General features: G+C 40.9%; 2 protein-coding genes across 67 annotated transcripts in view, besides 7 other annotated features; one reads left to right on the top strand and one right to left on the bottom strand.

Moving 5' to 3' along the window:
- VEZT (vezatin, adherens junctions transmembrane protein) overlaps positions 1-20,297 on the bottom strand; it is an 84,993-nt gene extending 64,696 nt beyond the window's left edge. For 37 of the 66 annotated variants that reach the window (NR_147918.2, NR_147920.2, NR_038241.2 and 34 more), the window contains exon 1: positions 20,218-20,297. Coding sequence is in view for 22 of the 66 variants with exons in the window: in NM_001352108.2 (NP_001339037.1) it covers positions 20,218-20,253 (36 nt within the window). In the remaining 44 variants the exon portion in view is untranslated. Of the gene's footprint in view, positions 1-13,867; positions 13,925-19,758 lie in introns of all 66 variants that reach the window. The other 29 variants (XM_047429110.1, NM_001352118.2, NM_001352094.2 and 26 more) reach the window with 3 other exon arrangements.
- Positions 1,344-2,041: an enhancer, noted in NCBI's record as "H3K27ac-H3K4me1 hESC enhancer chr12:95629839-95630536 (GRCh37/hg19 assembly coordinates)". NCBI's record gives its function as "activates a minimal SCP1, AML or CMV promoter by ChIP-STARR-seq in naive H9 embryonic stem cells {active_cell/tissue: H9 hESC(naive)}" and the evidence as "EXISTENCE:reporter gene assay evidence [ECO:0000049][PMID:30033119]".
- Positions 19,429-19,478: an enhancer, noted in NCBI's record as "active region_6809". NCBI's record gives its function as "activates an Ori minimal core promoter by ATAC-STARR-seq in GM12878 lymphoblastoid cells {active_cell/tissue: GM12878}" and the evidence as "EXISTENCE:reporter gene assay evidence [ECO:0000049][PMID:35858748]".
- Positions 19,783-20,378: an enhancer, noted in NCBI's record as "NANOG-H3K27ac-H3K4me1 hESC enhancer chr12:95611502-95612097 (GRCh37/hg19 assembly coordinates)". NCBI's record gives its function as "activates a minimal SCP1, AML or CMV promoter by ChIP-STARR-seq in naive H9 embryonic stem cells {active_cell/tissue: H9 hESC(naive)}" and the evidence as "EXISTENCE:reporter gene assay evidence [ECO:0000049][PMID:30033119]".
- Positions 20,079-20,318: an enhancer, noted in NCBI's record as "active region_6808". NCBI's record gives its function as "activates an Ori minimal core promoter by ATAC-STARR-seq in GM12878 lymphoblastoid cells {active_cell/tissue: GM12878}" and the evidence as "EXISTENCE:reporter gene assay evidence [ECO:0000049][PMID:35858748]".
- Positions 20,379-20,973: an enhancer, noted in NCBI's record as "NANOG-H3K27ac-H3K4me1 hESC enhancer chr12:95610907-95611501 (GRCh37/hg19 assembly coordinates)". NCBI's record gives its function as "activates a minimal SCP1, AML or CMV promoter by ChIP-STARR-seq in naive H9 embryonic stem cells {active_cell/tissue: H9 hESC(naive)}" and the evidence as "EXISTENCE:reporter gene assay evidence [ECO:0000049][PMID:30033119]".
- Positions 20,549-20,778: a silencer, noted in NCBI's record as "silent region_4738". NCBI's record gives its function as "represses an Ori minimal core promoter by ATAC-STARR-seq in GM12878 lymphoblastoid cells {active_cell/tissue: GM12878}" and the evidence as "EXISTENCE:reporter gene assay evidence [ECO:0000049][PMID:35858748]".
- The window catches only part of FGD6 (FYVE, RhoGEF and PH domain containing 6), a 140,719-nt gene continuing 135,669 nt past the window's right edge, over positions 20,637-25,686 (top strand). The window contains exon 1 of the mRNA NM_018351.4: positions 20,637-20,879. Coding sequence (NP_060821.3) covers positions 20,864-20,879 — 16 coding nt within the window. The 5' untranslated portion in view covers positions 20,637-20,863. The remainder of the gene's footprint in view (positions 20,880-25,686) is intronic.
- Positions 24,055-24,134: an enhancer, noted in NCBI's record as "active region_6807". NCBI's record gives its function as "activates an Ori minimal core promoter by ATAC-STARR-seq in GM12878 lymphoblastoid cells {active_cell/tissue: GM12878}" and the evidence as "EXISTENCE:reporter gene assay evidence [ECO:0000049][PMID:35858748]".

The following is a 25,686-nucleotide window of genomic DNA, read 5'->3' as shown; positions in this document are numbered from 1 at the left end:
TTCACCATATGTATCATATGATATATTCTATAAGGTTCAAAATGCTCAACCCTGCAAGGCATAATTTTTAATTCAATCATATTTTTGTCTCTCTTCAAGCTAACTTCATCTTAAATTGTCCCCTTCCATTGGTGGCTTTAAGTTTCATAGAAGCTACAGAATCTGGGAACATACCAATACAGACTTTTTTCTCGTGAGAACATTTTAGAAAATGCTCATATAAAATTGGTGTTATTATGATCTACAGGCTCCATGACTTTTATTCATCCTTCAGGGAGAGCTCTATACTTATTAGCCTAAGGCTAATATAAAGTAGCAAATGGCAAGAAGTCAAGAAATTTTAAGGTATAAACTCAGAGAAGAGAAATAATCAAGAGGCAATGGATTACCAATTTAGAAATTTAGTTTCCAAGGGAAACAGAGCCACAACAGACACCAACATGAACAAGATAATAAAAACAAAACAAAACAAAATAATATTCCAGTGCTGTGTTTTCCCAAGGCTATGGGGGCTATACGTGGTGAGTGTTTGGTAATGGCCCTTGATCTTCTCCCACTGCCCATTTCTGAGGTTACAGCAAGTTTAACCTCTGGTTTGGTGATATCAGTGGAGGCTGATAATTCTGCTTGATACTACCCAGATGCACAATTTTCTCACAGGAGGATGATCCAGTGTAGTTCCTATCTGGTTGGTTGATTTCTTTTCCACCCATCTCCCCACAAACAACAGCAGTACTAAACATTTATTGAGTACCCAGACAGGGCCAGGAATTAATCTAAGTATTTTTTTTTTATGTACAAGCCTGTCTCATCTTTGCAATAACCTTATGAGGCATGGCTCATTTTAGATATGAGGAAACTAAGGCACAGAGAGACCAAGGGAACTTGCCCAAGGTCACAAGGACAGATAGTAGTAAACAACAGAAGAGGGATTTTTCTGAGTTGGAAAAACCTGACAGATTCAGTGCTGTTACCTACCCCATCATATTGCAAATAATTTTGAGTAAACAAGTTCATTAATTTGGTCTAATGTAGTACTGTGTATAGTTGTTTTATTTAACTAGAAACTAAACTTGTAATTTTAAATCTATTTAGCAGATTAAGTTAGAAAACTCAAAATAGGCTAGCATTATTCTCCTGATAATATCTACATTTATTCCCAATTGCCTTATTTTTGCTTCAGATGAGCTATAGTTCACATGTAAGAATTCAGTAAGAGCCAAGCACCATGGCTGATGCCTGTAATCCTAGCACTTTGGGGGACCAACATGGATGGATCACTCAAGGTCAGGAGTTTGAGACCAGCTTGGCCAATGTAGTGAAACCCCGTCTCTACTAAAAATACAAAAATTAGCCGGGCGTGGTGGCAGGAGACTGTAATGTGGGCTTATTGTAATCCCAGCTACTGGAGAGGCTGAAGCAGGAGAATCACCTGAACCCAGGAGGTGGAGGGTGCAGTGAGCCAAAATCATGACACTGCACTCCAGCCTGCGCAACAGAGACTCCCTCTCAGAAAAAAAAAAAAAAAGAATTCAGTAAGAGCATTTGCCTCACGTTACACAAGGTTAGAAACTGGCTGCAAAGATTCTTGGGGACTACAGAAACAATGGTACTCTAGTCTTAAAAACTACTTTCCCCTCTCCCCTCTCCCACAGTCTCCCTTTCCCACAGTCTCCCTCTCCCTCTCTTTCCACGGTCTCCCTCTGATGCCGAGCCGAAGCTGGACTGTACTGCTGCCATCTCGGCTCACTGCAACCTCCCTGCCTGATTCTCCTGCCTCAGCCTGCCCAGTGCCTGCGATTACAGGCGCGCGCCGCCACGCCTGACTGGTTTTCGTATTTTTTGGGTGGAGACGGGGTTTCGCTGTGTTGGCCGGGCTGGTCTCCAGCTCCTAACCGCGAGTGATCCGCCAGCCTCGGCCTCCCAAGGTGCCGTGATTGCAGACGGAGTCTCGTTCACTCAGTGCTCAATGGTGCCCAGGCTGGAGTGCAGTGGCGTGATCTCGGCTCGCTACAACCTCCACCTCCCAGCCGCCTGCCTTGGCCTCCCAAAGTGCCGAGATTGCAGCCTCTGCCCAGCCGCCACCCCGTCTGGGAAGTGAGGAGCGTCTCTGCCCGGCTGCCATCCCATCTAGGAAGTGAGGAGCGCCTCTTCCCGGCCGCCATCCCATCTAGGAAGTGAGGAGCGTCTCTGCCCGGCTGCCCATCGTCTGAGATGTGGGGAGCGCCTCTGCCCTGCCACCCCGTCTGGGATGTGAGGAGCGTCTCTGCCCGGCAGCCGCCCCGTCTGAGAAGTGAGGAGCCCCTCTGCCCGGCAGCCACCCCGTCTGGGAAGTGAGGAGCGTCTCCGGCCGGCAACCACCCCGTCCGGGAGGGAGGTGGGGGTCAGCCCCCCGCCCGGCCAGCCGCCCCGTCCGGGAGGGAGGTGGGGGTCAGCCCCCCGCCCGGCCAGCCGCCCCATCCGGGAGGTGAGGGGTGCCTCTGCCCGGCCGGCCCTACTGGGAAGTGAGGAGCCCCTCTGCCCGGCCAGCCGCCCCGTCCGGGAGGGAGGTCGGGGGGTCAGCCCCCCGCCCGGCCAGCTGCCCCGTCCGGGAGGTGAGGGGCGCCTCTGCCCGGCCGCCCCTACTGGGAAGTGAGGAGCCCCTCTGCCCGGCCAGCCGCCCCGTCCGGGAGGGAGGTGGGGAGGTCAGCCTCCCGCCCAGCCAGCCGCCCCGTCCGGGAGGTGAGGGGCGCCTCTGCCCGGCCGCCCCTACTGGGAAGTGAGGAGCCCCTCTGCCCGGCCAGCCGCCCCGTCCGGGAGGGAGGTGGGTGGGGGTCAGCCCCCGCCCGGCCAGCCGCCCTGTCCGGGAGGTGAGGGGCGCCTCTGCCCGGCCGCCCCTACTGGGAAGTGAGGAGCCCCTCTGCCCGGCCACCACCCCGTCTGGGAGGTGTACCCAACAGCTCGTTGAGAACGGGCCATGATGACAATGGCGGTTTTGTGGAATAGAAAGGGGGGAAAGGTGGGGAAAAGATTGAGAAATCGGATGGTTGCCGTGTCTGTGTAGAAAGAGGTAGACATGGGAGACTTTTCATTTTGTTCTGTACTAAGAAAAATTCTTCTGCCTTGGGATCCTGTTGATCTGTGACCTTACCCCCAACCCTGTGCTCTCTGAAACATGTGCTGTGTCCACTCAGGGTTGAATGGATTAAGGGCGGTGCAAGATGTGCTTTGTTAAACAGATGCTTGAAGGCAGCATGCTCCTTAAGAGTCATTACCACTCCCTAATCTCAAGCACCCAGGGACACAAACACTGCGGAAGGCCGCAGGGTCCTCTGCCTAGGAAAACCAGAGACCTTTGTTCACTTGTTTATCTGCTGACCTTCCCTCCACTACTGTCCTGTGACCCTGCCAAATCACACCCAAGAATGATCAATTAAAAAATAAATAAATAAATAAATAAAAAACAAAAAAAACAAAACTACTTTCAAAACTAGCTTAATGTGTTTTAAAAACAACTCACTGAAAATGGAAGCCTGGCGCGGTGGCTCATGTCTGTAATCCCAGCACTTTCGGAGGCTGAGGCGGGCAAATCACCTGGGGTTAGGTGTTCAAGACCCAGCCTGACCACCATGGAGAAACCCTGCCTCTACTAAAAAAATACAAAAAAATTAGCCGGGGGTGGTGGCGCATGCCTGTAATCCCAGCTACTCGGCAGGCTGAGGCAGGAGAATCGCTTGAACCCGGCCGGCGGGGAGGTTGCGGTGAGCCCAGATCGCGCCATTGCACTCTAGCCTGGGGGCCAAGAGCGAAACTCTGTCTCAAAAAAAAAAAAAAAAAAAAGATTATTGATAGAAAATTTGGCTAACATGATGCAACAGTTTTTTAATTTACAATAAGGCCACATAAACCAGTAATAATATTTTTTTAAATTGTAGAAATGGGTAAAGGATATAAAGAAGCAGTTCAAAGAAAAAAATACAAATGGGTCAATATGAATGAAAACATGTTAAACTTCACCTTTGAAGAAATGCAAATTGAAACAAAGACACAATTTTTACCTATTAGTTGGCAATAATTAAGAAGTCTGAGAATACTCAGTTTTGGCAACGTTGGAATACAGATACATCATACACTATTAGTGGGAGTATAGGTATAAAAATATAAATGCAAATATCCGTTGACCTAGCAATTTTACCACTAAGCTTCCAGTCTATGAATACAATTATAAAAGTATGCCAAATATACATACAAGAATATCGACTAGTACTAGCCATTTAAAAACCCCATTTGTGTTTTAAAAAACCCACAAAATGGAATTATACAATATATTTATGTATGTCACACACATATATATATATACACATACACATATAGATGAATGTAATTGCGCTGAGAATAATCTGAAAGAAAATATACCAACATTGGCCAGGCACAGTGGCTCACACCTATAATCTCAGCACTTTGGGAGGCCGAGGTGGGGGGATCACTTGAGGCCAGGAGTTTGAGACCAGCCTGGCCAACATGGTGAAACCTTGTGTGTACTAAAAATACAAAAAAATTAGCCAGGCGTGGTGGCACACACCTGTAGTCCCAGCTACTTGGGAGGCTGAGGTGGGAGAATCACTTGAACCTGGGAGGCGGAGGTTGCAGTGAGCCAAGATTGTGCCACTGCACTCCAGCCTCGGCAAGAGAGTGAGACTCTGTCTCAAAAAACATAAAAAATAAAAATAAAAAATAATTTAAAAAAGAAAATATACGAAAGTGATTACAGTGGTACTTCTGTGGAGAAAGGTGGACCTGCAAAGGAAAAGGGGGATTAAGGGAGAGCTGATCCTTTCCCTGTATTATGTGAATGTTTTACAATGAGAACATATTCATGTGTTATCTGTGTGGAAAAACATAGTTAAGGTCTGCTAAGAAAAAAAAAAGAAAAAGAAAAAAGAAGGTACCTAATTACATGAGAATTTAGTAAATGAATAAAATGAGCCAATACACTTTCCCATATAAAAACTAACAATGGGGTGGATGCAGTGGCTCACCCCTATAATCCCAGCACTTTGGGAGGTCAAGCCATGCAGATCACTTGAGCCAAGGAATTTGAGACCAGTCTGAGCAACATGGCAAAACCCTGTCTCCACAAAAAATACAAAAATTAGTCAAACATGGTGGTACACACCTGTGCTCTTAGCAACTCAGGAGGCTGAGGCAGGAGGACCGCTTGAGCTTGGGAAGTAGAGGATGCAGTGAGCCGAGATTGCGTCACTGCACTCCAGCCTGGGCGACAGAGTGAGACTCTGTCTCAAAAAACCCAAAAAACAAAACAAACGAACAAAAAAACCCAAACCAAACCAACCCAAAAACTAATGCTCTACTTCAACTATTATACATTCCTTTATTTAAAATGTCAGTATGATATCTAAACCACACTATCAGGTTTGGCAAAATGCTAACTATTGTCAGATGTCAGATGTCATTTGGGCCATGCAGTCCATATTAAACACAAAAAGCAACAAGAAAACACAGGCACACTAGCTACTAACAGAGAAGAGAGTATGAGGCACAAAGCATTGGCACAAAAGCCCGAAACTGTGTAATGTTTGAGAAGTAATTTTGTTAACACAGACTTCCCACCTATATGAATCTGTGCTTATTCTGGTTCAAAGGATCAAAAAGCCTTTGATTTCCATTCCCAAGTTACAGAATTCACCAAGTTATACGTAACTTTTCCTCAAGTTTGTACCAACTTGTAATTTCTCTGGAAAAAAAGTGTTCTCTACATACTACCATGTAAATTACATATTTTTTAAAGTTTCTACCATGCCAACAGAACCTCTAAAAGATCTTTAATTCAAAATAAAATCTCTAGGGAAAAGGTATCTGCAACTAAAGGGATTTGATGGGAAAATATCTGCCTGAAAATTATGTGTTATTTTAAAGCATTTAAAAAAACCTTTTATCTTTGAATATAGCTTAAAGCTATAGGTCTAAATGTGACTATCACATATAGAACAACAATATATTGTTTTTGGAAAATACCACTAAAAAGGATTAAACTCCTGTTGTTAATTGCTATGATTTCCATGTTTTTCCAGGCTAGCTGCAGAGTATCACAAAATAAAGTGATGAGTAAGACTATTAACAAATTATAAAAGGCAGTGATTTTTCTCAATTTTTAATGAGGAATCTACTTAAAAGGCTAAATCTCTGTCAAAATTAACAAAACCCCATCATGGAAAATAAATTTCCCCATAATTGTATTGCCAATGTAGTAAATTTCTATATAGCCTTTTCACTTATCTTTAATTCAGTACGCAATCACAAAATATAATCTGAAATTAACTACTTCGTGCCTTTATCTCCCTTAAACCTTAGATAATATCATAGGATATTAAAGATATAAAATAATAGGAAATGCTTTTCGGAGCTTACACATTTCAACATAATATCTAAATTAATATACCAAAGCCCCAAATTCAAGCATTAATTAATTAATCAGCAAAGTAAAATCTAATCATAGAATTTAAAGAGATTAAGCTAAAAGGGTCCATTAAAATTGGTCCAACTAATTAAACTACTCACAGATAGCATGGTTCTAATTTCTCCAGTTGACCTAAATGAAAAATTTACTGCCTCTTGTCCATATTCTTTTTTATCCATACATTTCTTTCTTTGATGATTCCCACTTGTTTCTCCAGAAGAACCACAGTACAAAATGGCCACTGAATTGGAGGGCGTGCCTCTGTCATTACTAAGCATTTTCCTATCAGAAGCAGCCCTCTGAAAAAAAATCTGAACATTATTTCTTCAGTGCTGTTATTACTCAGCAACTACAGACAAAGGTAATAGGAATACTGGAGTTTTAAAAACGCCTTCAAAGGATGTTTTTAGTATTAGTGTTTATTTAAAAGTTTTTAAATAAACCAAGAAAAAGTAAGACACATATATTAAGAAGTTTGTCTGGCTGCAGGCTTCTAATATTTTCCGCTGAAATCCTATCCAATGATTCTGATATGAGATGTAATAAATAGCAAACATTTTTAAAAAGAGTAACCTTAAGATTTTTTATACAACAGTACAAAGATACTCAAGTGCAATACTACCTACGTCCAAAATCTAAATAAAAATCAAACATACCCATCAGAAGACTAAGAGATGCAATGGGAGAAAACTGACTTACACAGCTTTTATACTCTATTGACTAAAAAGCAAGGACAGCAGTGGATTGTCTTAACTAAATGGAGAGAAGTCAGCAATGGTAGATTGATATCCCCTTGGTTCTGATGCTACTTTAAATATTATTTGAAATCTAGCTAATTAACTGGCACACATCGGTCACTTAAATGAATGCAGAGCAGAAGCAAGGAGAGGAAGCAAAACTTCATTTTCAACTGCTTTAAGACAAAGGCCAGAAGATCAAACACAATTGGCAAAATGTTGGATGTGAGGAGAGCATGCAGTAAACTTTAATATAATGTTTGGATATTAAGAGATAACATCCAACTTTATTTCCTTTGCTTCTTATCCCAAAATAAATAAAAAAAAAAAAAAAAGGAGAGATAACTGGACACAATGGCTCACACAGGATGAGGTGAGAGGAGAGGATAGCTGGAGCCTAGGAGTTCAAGGCTGCAGTGAGCTATGATTGCAATACTTGCACTCCAGCCTGGGTTGACAGAGTGAGACTGTCTCAAAAAAAAAAAAGAAAGAAAAAGAAAAAAGAAAAAAAAATCCATTTTAATAAAGATCTTAATGAGATAATATTAAAAGTTGTGGCTTAATCAGCAAAAACCTCAACAATAAGAGATAGGAGGCTATATTCTGTCAACTACATAAATTACAATGCAGATTTTAAAATAAATGATGTCCTCAAATATATTGTTTCAAATAAAAAGTAATGGGCACACTGATTTCCTATAGTGGGAATAATAACAACAGGAAGTCTCAATGTATACTATAAGCAATACTCAAAAAATCCAGAGGCAATGAAGTTAGTACACTTCGTTTTTTTTTTTTTTTTTTTGAGACGGAATCTCTCTCTGTTGCCCAGGCTGGAGTGCAGTGGTGTGATCTCAGCTCGCTGCAACCTCCATCTCCTGGGTTCAAGCAATTCTCCTACGTCAGCCTCCCGAGTAGCTGGGATTACAGGCACCAGCTGTAATTTTTGCATTTGTAACAGCCTGCTAATTTTTGCATTTTTAGTAGAGATGGGGTTTCACCATGTTGGCCAGGCTGATCTCGAACTCCTGACCCCAGGCGATCCGCCTGCCTCACCCTCTGAAAGTGCTGGGATTACAGGCATGAGCCACCACATCTGGTCGAAGTTAGTACACTTTCTAACACTGTGCCCCTGTCGAGTACACTGAGCTTTGGGCCTTTTCTCCTAAATCCTTAAGGCATGATTTGCTTCTAGGAACTCAGAGAACACCTGGTACAGAACCAGGGAAAACTAAAATTGAGTCAGGATTTCTAATATAAAAAGAGACTGGAAATGAATAGATTCTTTTCCTGTATTTCCTAATTAATGGAAGCCTCTAAGGGCCTACTCTCATTTACTCAACCCACTAGATAGTTTCCGATCCCCTAGAATGGATTTAAGAAAAATTTCATACCAAAGGATGATATGGTATAAAGGATGATCCTGGGAAACAAGCTCTAGAGAAATTAAGTGATTTATTCAGAATTTCATTGCTAATTTATGTCAGTCAGTCTCTTGACTCCTCGTCTGGTCCTCTTTCCACAATGCTTTTAAAAAAATGAAAACCTTCAATATAGCTGCACATAAAATACCAAGGTAACTAAAAAAAATAATGTAGGCACTGTGTGTGTCATAGCTTGAGACAAATGGACTTACATTTTAATAAATGCAATAAAAAATACATAAAAGAGAGAACTACCTACTTTTCTTGAATGTTTAGACATAAAACAGAAACAAAATTTTAATCTAAACTGGAGCCCCAAGGATCTGTGAAGAAGCCAAAACAGAAGAAATGACACAACATAAGCAGAAAAAAAAGCAGACTTGTTCCCCAAGAATAATTTTTATAATTCATATTAAACATGGAATTTCTTCTTGCATATCTTGGTTATAAACCAGAGTTGGTGTTTTGTTTTTGTTTTTGTTTTGAGAAAGGGTCTTATTTCAATGCCCAGGCTGGAGTGCAGTGCTGAAATCACAGCTCACTGCAGCCTCAACCTCCTGGGCTCAAGCAATCCTCCCACCTCAGCCCCGAAGCAGGTTGCACTGCAGGTACATGCCACCACACTGGCCAATTTTTACATTTTCTGTAGAGACAGGGTCTCACTATGTTGCCCAGGCTGGTTTTGAACTCCTGAGTTCATGTGATCTTCTAACCGCAGCCTCCTAAATTGTTGGGATTACAGGTGTGAACTACCATATCTGGCTAGACTTGGTCTTAATGGTCAATCTTTGATGTCAATAGAGTTGTGATTTAATAGCACTATTAATAAATATTATTCCTATTATAGATAGTGATAGCATGAATTTTGCTATACTTCTAATCTCAGCTACTACTTGGAACAAGATTATTTTAAATAATACAATTTAGGGCTTTATGTTTGACAAACTGAAACTCAGGATATATTAAAAAAAATTAAATGATATAATAATACCTTAAATTTTATATGTATAATTATTCTAGACAGGAAGCTCCATTATCAAAATAGCAAATACTGTCCATGTATATGTTCACAGACAAAAACAATATTCTTCCATTGGTCAAATCAATAATACAAGTAAGAAAGAATCTACAATTATTACTTAGGGAAAAAGTACCTTCATGTTCCTCAGAGATGCATAATAACTTTTAAAAATACAAAGAAAAGGGAATCTCTCGAGGAAGAGAGAAATTTTTTAAAACTTCCTTTTAAATGTGAAAGGTTTTGTGAGAGTCATTTCCTTTCATTTAACTGATTAAATGCTATGGGAGAAAAGGGCGAAAGCTGAACATACTGCCAACAAAGGGTTAACATTTAATAACTTACACAGAAGTATGAAAGAAGTAGGAGAAAAAGAAATCATGACAAAATGGGCAAAAATTATCTTTCTCAGCCAGGAAGAAAAGAAAAGAGGAAGAAGGAATTTAAACAAACACCAAAAACAGTAACGAGTTCACCTACAGAGGATAAGGTTACCAAGGCAAGAGATTTGAGTAAAAGATCCCTTTAATACAACATTGTCCCTACTAGAAGAAAGTTACAAAGGAATGGTTTAAATGAACTTCAAATGATGCAAAGAGGCAGAAAAATTAGTCTTTCAGATTTAAAAAGTCTTATTTCCAGGCACTCTTCCCTCTAGGAATAGCAAGGTTTAAGACAGATGACCTGAAGTTTCTGCAATTAAAATTTAAGGCCCGGTGCAGTCGTTCATGTCTGTAATCCCAGCACTTTGGGAGGCCGAGGCAGAACAATCACTTGAACCTGGGCAACATGTCAAAACCCACTCTCTGCAAAAAATACAAAAAATTGGCCGGGCATGGTGGCTCATGCCTATAATCCCAGCACTTTGGGAAGCCGAGGCGGATGGATCACCTGAGGTCAGGAGTTCGAGACAAGCCTGGCCAACATGGCGAAACCCCATCTCTACTAAAAATACAAAAATTAGCAGGGTGTGGTGGCATGCACCTGTAATCCCAGCTACTTGGGAGGCTGAGGCAGGAGAATCGCTTGAACCCGGGAGGTGGAGGTTGCAGTGACCCGAGATCACGCCATTGCACTCCAGCCTGGGCGACAAGAGCAAAACAAAATTCCATCTCAAAAAAAAAAAAAAAAAAGAAAAAATTAGTAGGGCATGATGGCACATGCCTGTAGTCCCAGCTACTTGGGAGGCTGAGATGAGATAATCACCTGAGCCTGGGAAGTGGAGGCTGCAGTGAACAGTGATTGTTCTATTGGAGGCCAGCCTGGTGACAGAGTGAGACCCTGTCTAAAAAACAGTTAAGAAAGCAACATCAGAACTTTAATACCTTTCTAAAGTAATTGGAGAATTCTTACTCTCAAAACACTGTAATTAATGATGACGATAACAGAGTAAAACAACAATCTTGGTATTTCATGCTTATTTTGTTAATATTCACATTAGACATAGTATCCATCATTTTCTAAACTTTGTTCTGTTGCTGTTTAGCCTGAGAGGTCCAAGACTGAGGTTATACTGTCCTTCTCAATTCAGCCTCTTAGAGTAGAATGATGGTAGAAGATTCTAATTAAAACAAATGATCTTATAGGAGGAGGAGTCAGGCTCCAATATAATGGAATTAACATTGAAAGTACATACGGAATCTAGCTCTGATAAAATGGGTAATCAGATTCTAGGGCAAGAAATGGGAATTGGGCCTGGGCACTTCACTCTTTCTTTCCTCCCTTAGTCCTTCTCTTATATTATCATCTTTCAGTGCACATCTAGTCCTCTCAGACTAAGAGGACTCAAAGTGATCACTGGAAGGAGAAATACAAATGACCCAAAATATAGTACAGTAAAATTTACAAATAATCCAAGAAACAGAAATTAAAACAAGATACCTCAAAGAGTTTGTTTTAAGGGAAGGGATGTTGTTGGAATATTATCCAAAACTCTGCATGATTTAAGTTTTTAACTTTCATGCAGCATGTAATTCTCTAGGTAAGTCTCAATACATGAATGACTCTGATTTCTATCTGAAGATCATTAAAATAACAGTATTACAACAAATATACCAAAAAAAAAAAAATCACAGTTAAATTTTCTTAGGGGAAGAGAGGTTCAGCCCTAAGATAGATATGGTAAATTGGCTTGGCTTGTTCAATCTCTATTCTATAATCCTTCTTCCAATGTATCTCTTGTGTTACAGAGGCAGGAAAGCTACATCTGAAATTTCCCAAATTATCTTGCAGCTAGGATTCTAGATATAAATCAGGGTTTCCCCAAGTAGGTGTATGGTGTAAGAGATTTGGAAGGTGGAAGAAGAGCAGAAGTCCACTTTTTGCTTCTTTGGCTTTTGTTTCAACTGTTCTTTTTTTTTTTTTTTTTTAAATAAAGGCAAAGTCTCAATCTGTCACCAAGGCAGAGTGCAGTGGCCTCATCAAAGCTCATCACAGCCTTGAACTCCTGGGTTTAAGCAATCCTCCTGCGTCAGCCTCCTGAGTAGCTAGGGCTAGAGATGCATGCCACCATGCCCAGCTAATTCTTTAAAATAATTTTTTGTAGAAACAAGGTCTCTCTATATTGCCCAAGCTGGTCTCAAACTGCTGGCCTCAAGTGATCCCCCCACTGCTGGCCTTGTTCTTTCATTTGTCTGTTCTCTCATTCCTTCTCTTCCCTCCATCCTTCTCTCTCTTTTTTTTTTTTTTTTTTTTTTTTTTTTTTTTGCTATGAAACAAAGCTGTGGAGGCAAAATGTTTCTATAGCAGTATTCCAATATGGATTCTCCAGCTTCTTGATAACACAGCTGCAGGTGTGGTAGAGACAGTGGAGAGACTCCAAGTTCCAATACCAAGGTATCACTTTGTTAGGTTATTGAGAGGCAGATGTGGTGATGGCTTTTGTTTTGTTTTGTTTTGTTTTGTTTTGTTTGAGACAGAGTCTTGCTCTATCGCCCACGCTGGAGTGCAGTGGCGCGATCTTGGCTCACTGCAAGCTCAGCCTCCTGGGTTTACGCCATTCTCCTGCCTCAGCCTCCCGAGTAGCTGGGACTACAGGCGCCCGCCACCAAGCCCGGCTAATTTCTTTTTGTATTTTTACTAGAGATGGGGTTTCACAGCATTAGCCAGGAAGGTCTCAATCTCCTGACCTGGTGATCCGCCCGCCTCGGACTCCCAAAGTGGTGATGGCTTCTAATTCCTGGATTGTAACTATGATCATGATCACGTGCTCTTGTCTTCATGAGCATATAGCAACTTTGATAGAGCTTGATCCTGTAGGCCTTCCGATGATAATCTAACCATTAATTCCCTATGTTAAATTCCTTTCTGCTTATGGCACATAGACAGGTTCCTGTTTACTGCATTAACAGGGGTCCTCAACCCCCAGGCCTGCACAGCACTGGTACCGGTCCATGGCCTGTTAGGAATACAGCCCGAGGCCAGCAGGATGGTGGGCCAGTGGGTGAGCAAGCGTTACTATCAGAGCTCCGCCTCCTGTCAGATCAGTGGCAGCATTAGATTCTCATAGGAGCAGGAACCCTATTGTGAAATGTGCATGTGAGAGATCTAGGTTGTGAGCTCCTTATGAGAATCTAACTAATGCCTGATGATCTCAGGTGGAACAGTTTCATCCTGAAACCATCCTCCATCTGGAAAAACTGTCTTCCACGAAACAAGTCCCTGGTGCCAAAAACCAGTCACTGTGCATTAGGATGTATGGGTGACACAGTACTTAGTATCTAGAAGTAGGGCTGACTCAGCAGAACCTGAAATATGTTCCACTGGCTGAGTAATCAAGTGGTAGATGGCAAGAAAACATGCCTTACAAGCTTTCAGCTCTTCAAAAGAAGGCCTTTCTCAGTCAGTGGCCTGAGATCTAAGTTGAATGAAAGTGGTAATAGGGGTAGAGGGGGTTACAGGTCTCATAGGTGGTAAAGCCCAAACACAGGAAATAAGATGGCTGCTCCTAGCCTTTCCCAAGAAGAATCCCGTGATAAGAGTTACAGGTTAGCTGGACATGGTGGCACCTGCCTGTAGTCCCAGCTACTTGAGAGGCTGAAGTGGTAGGATCACCTGAGCCAGGAGTTGGAGGCTGCAGTGAGTTATGATGGTTAACACTGCATTCCAGCCTAGGCAACAGTGCAAGACCCTGTCAAAAAAAAAAAAAAAGTTGTGGCTTTAGGTACAGGAATGCAATCACTAACAAATAGTAGCCGTAGAGGGAAAGAATTCAGACAAGAAACACCCAAACCTCTCTGGCGCTCTTTCCTCCATCCTCTGATCTGCAGGTCCTTCCCACTGGCCGAACCTAAATGGAACCCAGAGGACAAGGGAATGCAGTGATGCAGTCCATAATGATCAGGGTGGAATTATGGGTCTGAGGGACACAGGGAGAAAAATAATCACCAATGATAACATCAATCCCTCAACTATATACTTGGGTATTAAATAAGAAATAAAAATGGAACTTATACAACCATGAGACAAACTACATTTCAAAACTTTCGTGATACAACTGAAGCAATACTCAGGGAAATTTATAGCCTTACAAGTTATTTTGGGCATTTAGGTTTTTAACTCAAGAAGCTAAAAAAAACAGAACAAAAATAGCAAAATAAACACAAATAGATGAATGGAAATAGATAAAAGTAGAAATTTTAAAAAAATTTAAAACCACAAACAAATTCAATAGAACTGACCAAACAAAACCAACTAGTTTTTTGAAAAGTCTACCTGAGGCCAGGCACGGTGGCTCACATCTGTAATCCCAGCACTTTGGTAGGCCGAGGTGGGTGGATCACCCGAGGTCAGGAGTTCAAGACCAGCCTGGCCAACATGGTGAAACCCCATCTCTACTAGAAATACAAAAATTAGCTGGGCATGGTGATGGGTGCCTGTAATCCCAGCTACTCGGGAGGCTGAGGCAGGAGAATTGCTTGAACCCAGGAGGCAGAGGTTGCAGCAAGCCAAGATCCTGCCATTGCACTCCAGCCTGGGCGACAAGGCTAACAGAGTGGAACTCTGTCTCAAAAAAAAGAAAAGTCTATCTGGTAAGTTGAAACTCCAGCACATCTATGCAAAACAAAAAGAAAAACATAACAACAATCAGATCTAATTTGTGCTATAAATGAAACTAAAGAGACTACTAAGAATATATCAATAATTTTGAAAACCTAGATAAAAAGCAATTTGTTGGAAAAATTTAATAAAAGGTAACATTTACTGAGTGTTTACAATGTGTCAGGTACTCATCTAAGTAATTCACTTATATTAAATCATTTAGTACTCATAACTACCTTACGAGATAGTTACTGTTATTTTTATTTAATATGGAGAAAACTGAAGCTTAGACAAGTTAAGTAACCTGCTCAAAGTCACATTAACTAATATAACTAATAAATAGCTGACCTAGGATTTCTTAGGTTATCCAGCTCCAGAGCCCATATCTTTAACTATATTACACTGCCTTTCAGAATAAAAAAGTTATCAAAATAGAAAATTGTACCTGAGCAATAACCATAAAAGAAATTGAGCTGATAGACAACATTCAGTCTCTTTTCCCCAGGAAAGGCCAATTTAGCTATACTCTGAAGAAACAGATAATTCTCATTTTGTAAAATCAGTCCTAGAGCACAGAACGAGATGAGAAGTTGCTTGATTCATTTAGAAGGCAAGCAATAAATGTTCACGGATTGGAAGATTCAATATTGATTGTAAAGATGTTAAGTTTCCCCAGATTAATTTATAGCTTCAAAGCAATTTCAATCAAAGTCTCAGTAGGGTTTTTTTATTTTTATTTTTTATTTTTTTACAAAAACTGACAGGCTGATTCTAAAATTTATATGGAAATATAATGGGCCAAGAATAGCCAAAGGCAATCCTGAAGAAAAATACAGCTGAAGGGTCTTATGCTATCAGATATTAAAACCTATTTTTTAAATTATAGTAATTAAAATAATGTGGTATTAACACACGAATAGACAAAATGATCAATGGCAAAGAAGACAGTGTCCAGAAAGAGATCTACACATAAAAGATTCCCTGATTTATGACAAAGGCAACACTACAGTTCAGTGGGGAAAAAATGATCTGTTCAGTAAATGGTGCCAGGTCAACTGGACATCCATACGGGGAAAAAAAAATGTTGATCTTCACTTGTTACCATACAAAAATCAGTACCAGATGGATGACAGATCTAAATGGGAAAATGTCAAATAAAGCTTTTAAAGAAAATATCTTTGTGACCTTAGAGTAGGCAAATATTTTTTTAACAGCACTAATCACAAAAGAATAAGGTTTAATTGGATTATAATAAGGAGCTTCTGTTCATTGAAAGACACGATTAAAAGAGTGCAGAGGCCACATATAGCCCAAGGTAAGATATATGAGGTATATACAGTTGTCTCTTTATTCATGGGGAATTGGTCACAGGACTAGGGCAAATACCCAGTCCATGGATGCTCAAGTCCCTTATATAAAATGGCATAGTATTTGCATATAACATACACACAGTCTCCCACATATTTTAAATCATCTCTAGATTATTTGTAATACCTAATACAATGTGAACACTATGTAAATAGTTGTTATCCTGTATAGTTTTTTTATTTGTATTATTTTTTGAATATTTTTGAGTATTTATTTATTTATTTAGAGATATGGTCTCACTCTGTCACCCAGGCTGGAATTGTAGCTCACTGCAGCCTCAAATTCCTGGGCTCAAGCAATCTTCTGCCTCAGGCTGTGGAGTAGCTGGCATTACAGACATGCATCACCACACCTGGTTAATTTTTTTCTTTTTTTTTTTTAATATGCAGGGTTTTGTTAATGTTGACCAGGCTGGTCTTAAACTCCTGGCTTCAAGCAATATTCCTACCTTAGCCTCCCAAAGTGCTGGGATTACAGGCATGAGCCACCTCACTGGGCCAGAGTATTTCCTTTATTTTTTTTTTTTGAGATGGAATCTTACTCTGTCACCCAGAGCAACCTCCGCCTCCTGGGTTCAAGCGATTCTCATGCCTCAGCCTCTGGAGTAGCTGGGACTACAGGTGCATGCCACCATGCCCAGCTAGTTTTTGTATTTTTTAGTAGAGACTGGGTTTCGCCATGTTGGCCAGGCTGGTCTCAAACTCCTAGCCTCAAGTGATCTGCCTGGCTTAGCTTTCCAAAGTGCTAGGATTATAGGCGTGAGCCACGGTTGGTCCAATCTGCAGATGTGGAACTCTCAGCTAAGGAGGGCCAACTGCATCTCTAACAAAGGACTTGTATCCAGTGTATGTAAATAATTCCTTCAAATCAGCAAGAAAAAGAAACAACCCAATAGAAAAATATGCAAGAAATTTGACGTGGCTTCACAAAATGGATATACAATTGGCTAATAAACACATTAAAAATCTTAACATCTTTATCAAGAAAATACAAATTAAAACCACAAGGAGATACCAGGACATAGCCCCTAGAATCATAAAAAGAAAAACACTAAAATTAGCAAGGGTTGATGAGGATGTGGGGCAATGGGACCTCTCATACATTCCTGGCTGGAGAATAAACTGGTACAACCACTTTGGAATAAAGTTTGGCAATATCTACAGAAATATCTAGGTATTTGCTATGACCCAGCAATTCCATTCCTACATATATATCCACCAGAAATATGTTTAACCAAACACATACAAAAAGGTTCACAGTAGCACTAGTTTAAACCTGGGAACTACTCAATGACCATTAATAGAAGAATGAATTTAAAAATGATCATATATTCACATGGAATACTATGCCAAAATAAAAATTCTCATGTTAACAATATGGACGAATCTCACAAATAAAGCCAGAGAGGAAAAAAAAAAGTCAGAAATAAGAGAGTATATAAATGGAAATGCACAGTGTCTAAACAATAAAAATAGACAAAATTAATCTAGGTTATTATGTTTAAATAGTGATCATTTTGGGGTAGGGAGTAGTGATGGAAAGGACCAGGAGGGAGCTTCTGGTGTGCTGGTGATGTTGTTTCTTTTTTCATTTTTTATTTTTTTGGGGCAGAGTCTGGCTCTGTCATCCAGGCTGGAGTACAGCGGTGCGATCATGGCTCACTGCAGCCTTGACCTACCCAGGCTCAAGTGATTCTCCCACCTCAGCCTCCCGAGTAGCTGGGACTATAGGCATGTGCCACCACGCCCAAATAATTTTTGTCTTTTTTGTAGAGATAGGGTTTCACCATGTTGTCCAGGCTAATCTCAAACTCCTGGGTTCAAGGGATCCATCTGCCTCAGCCTCCCAAAGTGCTGAGATTACAGGTGTGAGCCACCATGCCCCATCTGTCCCGTTTCTTGATCTGGGTGCTGGTTACATGGGTGTGCTCAACATGTGAAAATATAACCATCCACACACTTGTGATCTGTGCCCTGTCCTTATGTAAATTATACTGCAATAAAAATTGTGTATATCAAAGAGCAAACAAACAGCAAACTGGAAATTTTTCTGCAAGTATGACAAAGGCTTAGTAATATATGAAGAACTCACGCAAGTCAATTTTTTTAAAGCTAGCATCTAATAAGAAAATGAGCAACAAATATGAAGAGAAATGTTCAAAGAAATAAAAATAGCTAATAAATGTATAAATGCATAAAATGTAAATTAAAACAATGGAATGTTATTTTTGCCTATCAAATTAGCAAAGATTAAAGGAAACTGTTAAGGCTGTTGTTGAGGATTTGGTGAAACCAATACTCTCTTATTCTTAATGGAAACCGGAATTGGTATAACCTTTCTGCGTAAGTCTTAAATGTTCATATTCTTTCACCCACTAGTTCTACTTCTAAAAATTATTCTGAGGAAAATCAGAGTTGTAGTTAAAAATAGGCTTATATCACTGTTGATTACAATGGTATTTTTTTAAAAAAAGGTTATATTATGATACACGTGAGGGGATATTATAATATTAATGTTTTCAGAGAATGATGAATGGGAAAAGATTCACGATAAAGTCAAGTGAAAAATATATACAAAATTCTACGTGGTATACCTTTTGTTTTAAAAAATATCACACACACATTGTGTCTTAATATAGAGGCTAAAAAATTACACACACATAAACACACATTTACATAGAAATAAAGTCTATAAGAACACATACCGTACTGTTAATAGTTACCATCTTTGGGTGGTGGGATAATGGATGATTTTAACTTGGGGGCTTATTTTCTACAATAAAATGTTCCTTGAGCATATATTACTATTATATTCAGAAATCAAAAATAATGGGTAAAAAAAATACACCCATCAGTTACCCTTACTCTAGAAAATATTTCTCTCTCCTTCAGCTACCACATTCAATCTATAAACATTGCCTCGATTTTAACTTACAAGTGTCTGTCCAAGCCATTATTCCATTACGTCTCTCATTTCATCTCAGGCCCTTGTCTTCCCTAATGAACGCCTCATATCTAGACTCTTCACTTCGGTAAAATGGCCACATTTTCCACTGCTTCTTCATTGCAGCCACATCAAGCCACTTTACATAGCCACCCTCCACACCCCGCCCCCTAAAAATGCACACCAGGTACTTTCACACTTCCCAAGCTTGGCATAATCAGTTCTCTTTCCCTGTAATACATTTTCTCCTGCCGGTTTTTCTAATCCAATTCATAGTTAAAGATTCACCTCGGATATCGCGTACTGGGTGTAGCCTCTGGGAGGCCGCAAGAACAGAAATTAATCCTTCAATGACAGTTTGTACATATTTCAACATTTAGCATTCTGTCCTGTCTGTGCCTCGCTCTCTCGCTGTATGGCATGGGCCACTTCATTTTTAAATTTTCTTAAAATCTAGTTGGATAAATGAAAGTAAAGCGTATACATGCAATACACATACGTACAGGGGTGCGAGTTTTGACCTGTGTCTGATGGAAAAAAATGGCATCAAAAACACTCGCCCGATTTTTTTCATTCAAGATGGCAGAGAACGTCTTAAAATAGTCCCACACAAAAGCACTCACATCTAGAGCCCCGAGTCAGAAGAACTGGCTACACCTAGCGCAACAGCAAAGGACAAAAGAATCGAATCTAGATGCTGAGATGCCCTGGCCCTAACTACCCACAGTAGGTCCCACAAATAGACTTTAAACCGTGTTAGAAAACGGGCACCTGCTGCCTTCATTCCGAGGGCCACGCCTTGACGGTGAACAGTGACCTGAAGCACTCTGGATACTGACCCAAAAAAATCGCGGATGGAAAAGGAGGAGGCTAAGTTGTGACTATCTAAAAGGCACGATTCGGCCCCGCCCCAGCCGGGCGCAGTCCCCCCCGCCGCACATCCATTCCCAGGAAGGAAGAGACACCGCTCCAGCCCAGAGCCTGGCAACCGGGCACCGTCTGGGAATTCTGGGCGGGCCCGAGATAGAGGCCGGCCACGGCCAGGGCGCCTCTGGCTACACCTGTCAGGCGACGACGGACTCTAGGCCCTGAAATCGCTGGGGTTCGGTGGTCGAGGCCAGCTGGAGCGCGTCACCCGATCCCTCGCCCCGGGAACGCCTTGCTTCCTCGATTTCCGTCTCGTCCTTCTCAAACAAAGGCAATCCACACCCACCGCCATTTTCCTCTTACCTCAAAAACCACCTCTTCGTCAAACTCCGGTGTCATCCTTCTCCGCCATGCCACCCGCCTCAGCACGATGGGAAATGAAGGCGGGAGTACAGGCGGCACGGAGCTCCAGCTCCTGCCCGTCCCGTGGGTCCAGAAAACTACAATTCCCAATATGCCTCGCCGCTCACGCCCCCTTTTCGAGCCCGCTTATTGGAGAAGAGAGTGAGCGTGTAAGCGAGAGAGGCGGGAGCGAGCTGAAGCTCGAGCCCTCCGATTGGAGGAGGCTAGGGCTTTTGTCTGCCTTTTACGGCCGCGACTAGCAGGGGGCGCCCGGAGCACTGCTGATTTTTGGAGCCCGAGAAGGGCACGCGCCAGCGGAGCCGAAGAGAGCACTGCTCGTGCCCGCGCCTGGCTGTCAGCCTGCCGCTCTGCGGGGCGGTGCTAGTGCTCGCCCGCCCGACCCCGGCGGCTCGCGCCCGGGAGCGCCGCAGGGTCGCTAGAGTCGGCCGCGTCCTTTGTGTGGCGCTCAGGCTGCGCCGCGGGGCGGCGGGACGGAATGTGGGCGCTGCGGGGGCTTTTCTCTCCTACCCGAACTGTGGGAACAATGGACTGAAAGGGGAAGATGGATTGAGGGGCCGAGCGGGGAAGCGAGCTGCACCGGGGAATCATGACTTCTGCAGCCGGTAAGTGACGGCGCTCGCGCTGCCGCGGGAAAGTTTGTGGCGAGCGCTGCTAGGCTTGGGCTCGCGAGCAACTTTCTTCGCCGGGGTGGGCGAGTTGTGTGCCCCGTACCTTTGCCGAGCACCTCGGCAAGCGCGGAGCTAATGGGATTCGCTGCCGGCTTTCTCGTCTTTTCCTGCCCAGAGGGGCTGTTTGGAAACCCGGGATTTCTCGGGATCTCCCTTCCAAGGGGGACTGTGCTGGGGGCTCTGCACCAGGTGAAATGCGATGTGTGAAGGGCGTTCGCTCATCTCTCCAGCAGTGCGAGGACTTCGCCTTTGCATGTGAAAATAGTGTAGATTCCCAAGTTAATAGATCAGTTATTATAGGTAAAGGCAGTGTTCTCAGCGTGTTCAATTTGGCCACTAAGTGAGTCGCTTTCAACCTTGTATCTGCTGGTAAACCTTTTACCCATTTTAAAGAGGCGTAGACATTGTCATGTCCTGGTGGTTTTACCTCTGTTACCTGAGAAGCAGAGGAGTTGAGATTGTTGAGGTTTTTTTTTTTTTTTTTTTTTTGCTTGTCTGCACCCAATTACAATTATTTTGTTTGTTTCTACCTGATTAGGGTAAACAAAGCTTTATTTTCTGTCTGCCTCCCATAGTTCTTTCCCCTTCATCCAAATGACAAAGCCTCTATCTTTGTGTGGATTTTCAGCAATTCTAGACGTTGTGTTTCTGAACATTCTTAAGGAACAATTTCTGTTTTACAAAATAATTACCAAAGTGGTGTTACGTTCACTTCGTAAGTACATAGGTTAATTTTTAAACCAGAACTTATGTATTAAGTAGAGTGTTATGGGTTATTTTACGTTTTTGTCCACGTTGAAACTTTCATTAGAAATTTTATAGTGAAATAGTTTAAAGCTTCTTCTCAAGGTTACTTCCAGAATCAGCACTTAAGTATCAGATTAAATTTTCATTGCTTTTCTTGGCATTTGTTTAAAATTCTTGCAACTTGAAACTGTCCAACAGCACTCAAATGTTCTGATTTGTATTATTTCTAAAGCCTAGATATATTGTAGTGTTGCATTGCTCCCTGTGATCAGATTACAACAAACGAAACAAGAAGTTAGCCAATAGGAAAAGAAAGCAAGAAGTGGGTGTTGTGTGGGTCTTTCCTTTTTGATGTTATATGCACTTATATGAGATATCTTTATAAACTCTCTTTTCTTTGCCAAAGGGAGGCTTTATACTTACATAAGGTAAATTATTTTCATCCTACATTTCTGTGCCTTACCTTCGTTCAAGAAATTGATTTAAATTAAAAGTGGTTGGAAATTTTAAAATCCTTCCAGCCAGTTTTAGCTCTTTCCTTTTTGGAGGTGTCAAATGTATTTAAAATAACCGTGTCTTATATGTATCAGTTTTCAATTCCAGTCTTAACAGTTTATAAGGAACAGGCACAGAAGCATGTAATTTCACATTTATGTAAACCCAATTTCTAGGGCCCAGACTGGAAGTTCATGATTCTTGCATTTGAATTATCCTAAAATAATGCAAGCTATTTTTGTATTTTATCAACTTTACAATTAAAGAAATCCACAGAAATTTTTGTGGTGTTTAAAGTGGGACACTTCCTGTGTCTAGCCGAGTTGGTTGGTTTTTAGCATTGCTGGCTGAGAAGCATCAACTACTTTTTTGCTCACCCATCTGTTGGATTTATCATAATTCTTTCTGGTGTCTAGATGGGGAATATGGAAGAGAACTGGGGTTTTATTTCTACCCATTCTTATATGTATACATAGTTCTTACAAGCTGATTATGGTGCTTTTTGGGAACAATAGTCAAATTCATTGAAACGTTTAGGAAAGTTACTTGAAGTTAAGGGAGGGGATTTTTGCTTTTGAATCTAATCTGTGGTATTTGGAAGGGTTGGTTTAATTTAAGAAAATAAAAGGAATGTTGTAGAACATCTAGGTTATATGTATCCAGCAGAAAAGCTTGCTTTGTTTTTCTACATCTATAAAATAATCTGCCCTTAGTGGAGATTTCAGAATTATTTTAAGCTGTATATGAAAAAGGAGAGGCTGGGCGCAGTGGCTCAAGCCTGTAATTCCATCACTTTGGGAGGCCAAGGCGGGTGGATCACTTGAGGTCAGGAGTTTGAGACCAGCCTGGCCAACATGGCAAAACCCTGTCTCTACTAAAAATACAAAAATTAGCCAGGTGTGGTGGGGTGCGCCTGTAGTCCCAGCTATTCGGGAGGCTGATATGAAAATTGCTTGAGCCAGCGAGGCGGAGGTTGTGGTGAGCCGAGATCGAGCCACTGCACTCTAGCCTGGGTGACAGAGCAAGACTCCATCTCAAAAAAAAAAAAAAAAAAAGAAAAAAGGAGAGAGAATTATAGGTATATATAGGTATATATTTTGTGTCCTTTTGAACATGTACAGGTCACTGTCTTCATTGTCTGTGCTTTGCGTTTTGGCTGGTCCAGTAGCCAGAGAGTGTACACGTGAACCACAGCCATCTGTGTGTAACAGATGACGAGTATGTTTGTAATAGTTAGTAAAATGGTACTAGTGCTTTACTTTCTTACCTTATATTTCCCTGGAGCCAAACAGCTGTGTAAATAAAAGATTTGCTGCTTTGCTCTAAGAAGCTTTGGGTCTGACTGTTGATGCAGTATTAAGATCCAAAGGTGCTAGATTTATTGCCAAATGTCATGCACTTATTTCACATTGGAGTAGACCATAATATAATGGCTTATTATTTTTTGAGTTGTGTTTCTTCCAAAATAGAGCCATGAAAAAAAAATAATGAAGGATTTTGGATATTGCTCTACCAGTGACTTAGTTGAACACTTGTTCCTATTAATAATTAAGGAATTTTTCAATAATCGTATTGAAATTGATTCCTGCTAACTTTTCAAAATATTATTCTACATTAAAATGGATGTACATTTTTGAATGTGATTATTTTTAAAGAAGAAATTTTCTGTTATGGAGACATATTAAAGAGTATGTGTATGTGGCAGCTGTGATTATTCCCAGGCCCTGTTGTTAGCACTGGGATACATCAGTGAATGAGACAAAGTGCCTGCCCTTCTGGAGCTTGTGTCTTATGCTGAACACAGACAAAGGTGAACTGAAAAAACATCAACGCAGGAGACAGAGGCCACAGTACATGAGGTTCTTCTGAAATGAGTGTCTCAGAAGTTATCATCTCAGATTCCTATGGGCTTTAGAGGCCTGTTCAACTCCCCCATTTATAAGGAAGGAAAGTGAGGCAGCCAGGTCTGTACAAGGCCCACAATTAGGTTAGCCAGCTCCCTGAGTTATGTCTGTGACTTCCTTCAATACACAGTTAACTAACAATGGCAAGCCCAAGTTCACAGTTATTAATTGAATTCAGTGAGTATGCGTTGAGGGTTTTATGTACGTAATAGGACTTTGCTATATTTATTGGGAATCAACTCCAGCACATACGTAGTTAATTGAATTTCTGTGACACTAGAACAGGAATTTATATCTCTTGGAAGCAGATTTGTGTACAAAACGCATTTTTTAAAAAGAGTAAAATTGGTACCAGGGATTTTTTAAAAATGATATTTAAATGACCCTAAAGCTTCTGACAAGGTTCTAAGATACGGAAAGTAAAAGATTAATTTGATGAGAGATGAAGTTTTCTTCCAACTGTGGTAAAATAGCACATAAGATAAATTTACCGTCTTACTCATTTTTAAGTGTATAGTTCAGAAGTGTTAAGTACATTCACATGGTACATCCAATCTCAAGAACTCTTCATTTTACGAAACTATTTTTTTTGTTTTCATGGAGACGGAGTCTTACTGTGTTGCCCAGGCTGGTCTCCAATTCCTGAGCTCAAGCAATCCTCCCACCTTGCCCTCCCAAGGTGCTGGGATTACAGGCATGAGCCACTATGCCAGGCTGCCAAAACTAATTTTTAAAAAATTCTTTGAAAAATCCCAGAGGTAGGATGTTTTGATAATGGTTACAGAAATAAAATCAACTTGACAGTCGTACTGAGTAAGATGGGCCGTTGGGAAGAGGCCTAAGGCATTCATACTTTCTCTTAAGACTTGACTTACTAAATGGAGGGTTTGATTTAATAGACATTTACAACTAGGTTTCTCACTAGGATTTGAAGGGTTTTTCAGTTATTTTCTGCCTAAAAAAAACTCAGACAAAATTAACTATGATGATTGAACAGCTAACTGAAATTATGTAGTATAGGAATTTGCATTATTTTGAAAATAATTTTTTATTGATGATGACATTATACCTAGAAATTGAGTGAGAGGACATGTATCATCATATACATCATATAATCTTTATTGCACACATAGAAGTAGAGATTTAGGGAATTCTTCCTTGGTTGGTAAAAGGAAGTAGAGCACCCTACTCCTCTTTTTTTTAAAAAAACTCAGTTCCGTGTAATAGCTTCCCAAGTGTCGTGACTAATTTCCTTTGTTCAAAAGTAAGTCATCACCAAATGAAATATCAGAGCCCCTGTCTATTCAAGTAATTAAACAACGTCCAGCAGTCCTTTGCAGCAGATATTTTGAAAAGTTTTTTCAGTAAATTAAGTTTTTATTAAGTGTTAGATCCTGTCAAACGAACAAATATAAATGTAAAAGATAAAATATTTTTTATGACATGTCTCCTTGGGGAAATGTGGTCAATAATATGACAGTGTAGGTGGAAGAACATAAAGGAACTTACAGATATACAGGCTTTATTTATCTTTTCGCTTTATAGGTCTGTTGTGTAAAGCTTTTATTAGGTTCCTATAGTATAGGAGCAGATCT

The sequence above is a fragment of the Homo sapiens genome, chromosome 12 (assembly GCF_000001405.40).
Source record: "Homo sapiens chromosome 12, GRCh38.p14 Primary Assembly".
Lineage (NCBI taxonomy): Eukaryota > Metazoa > Chordata > Mammalia > Primates > Hominidae > Homo > Homo sapiens.
This window is presented reverse-complemented; position numbering and strand designations above follow the sequence as displayed.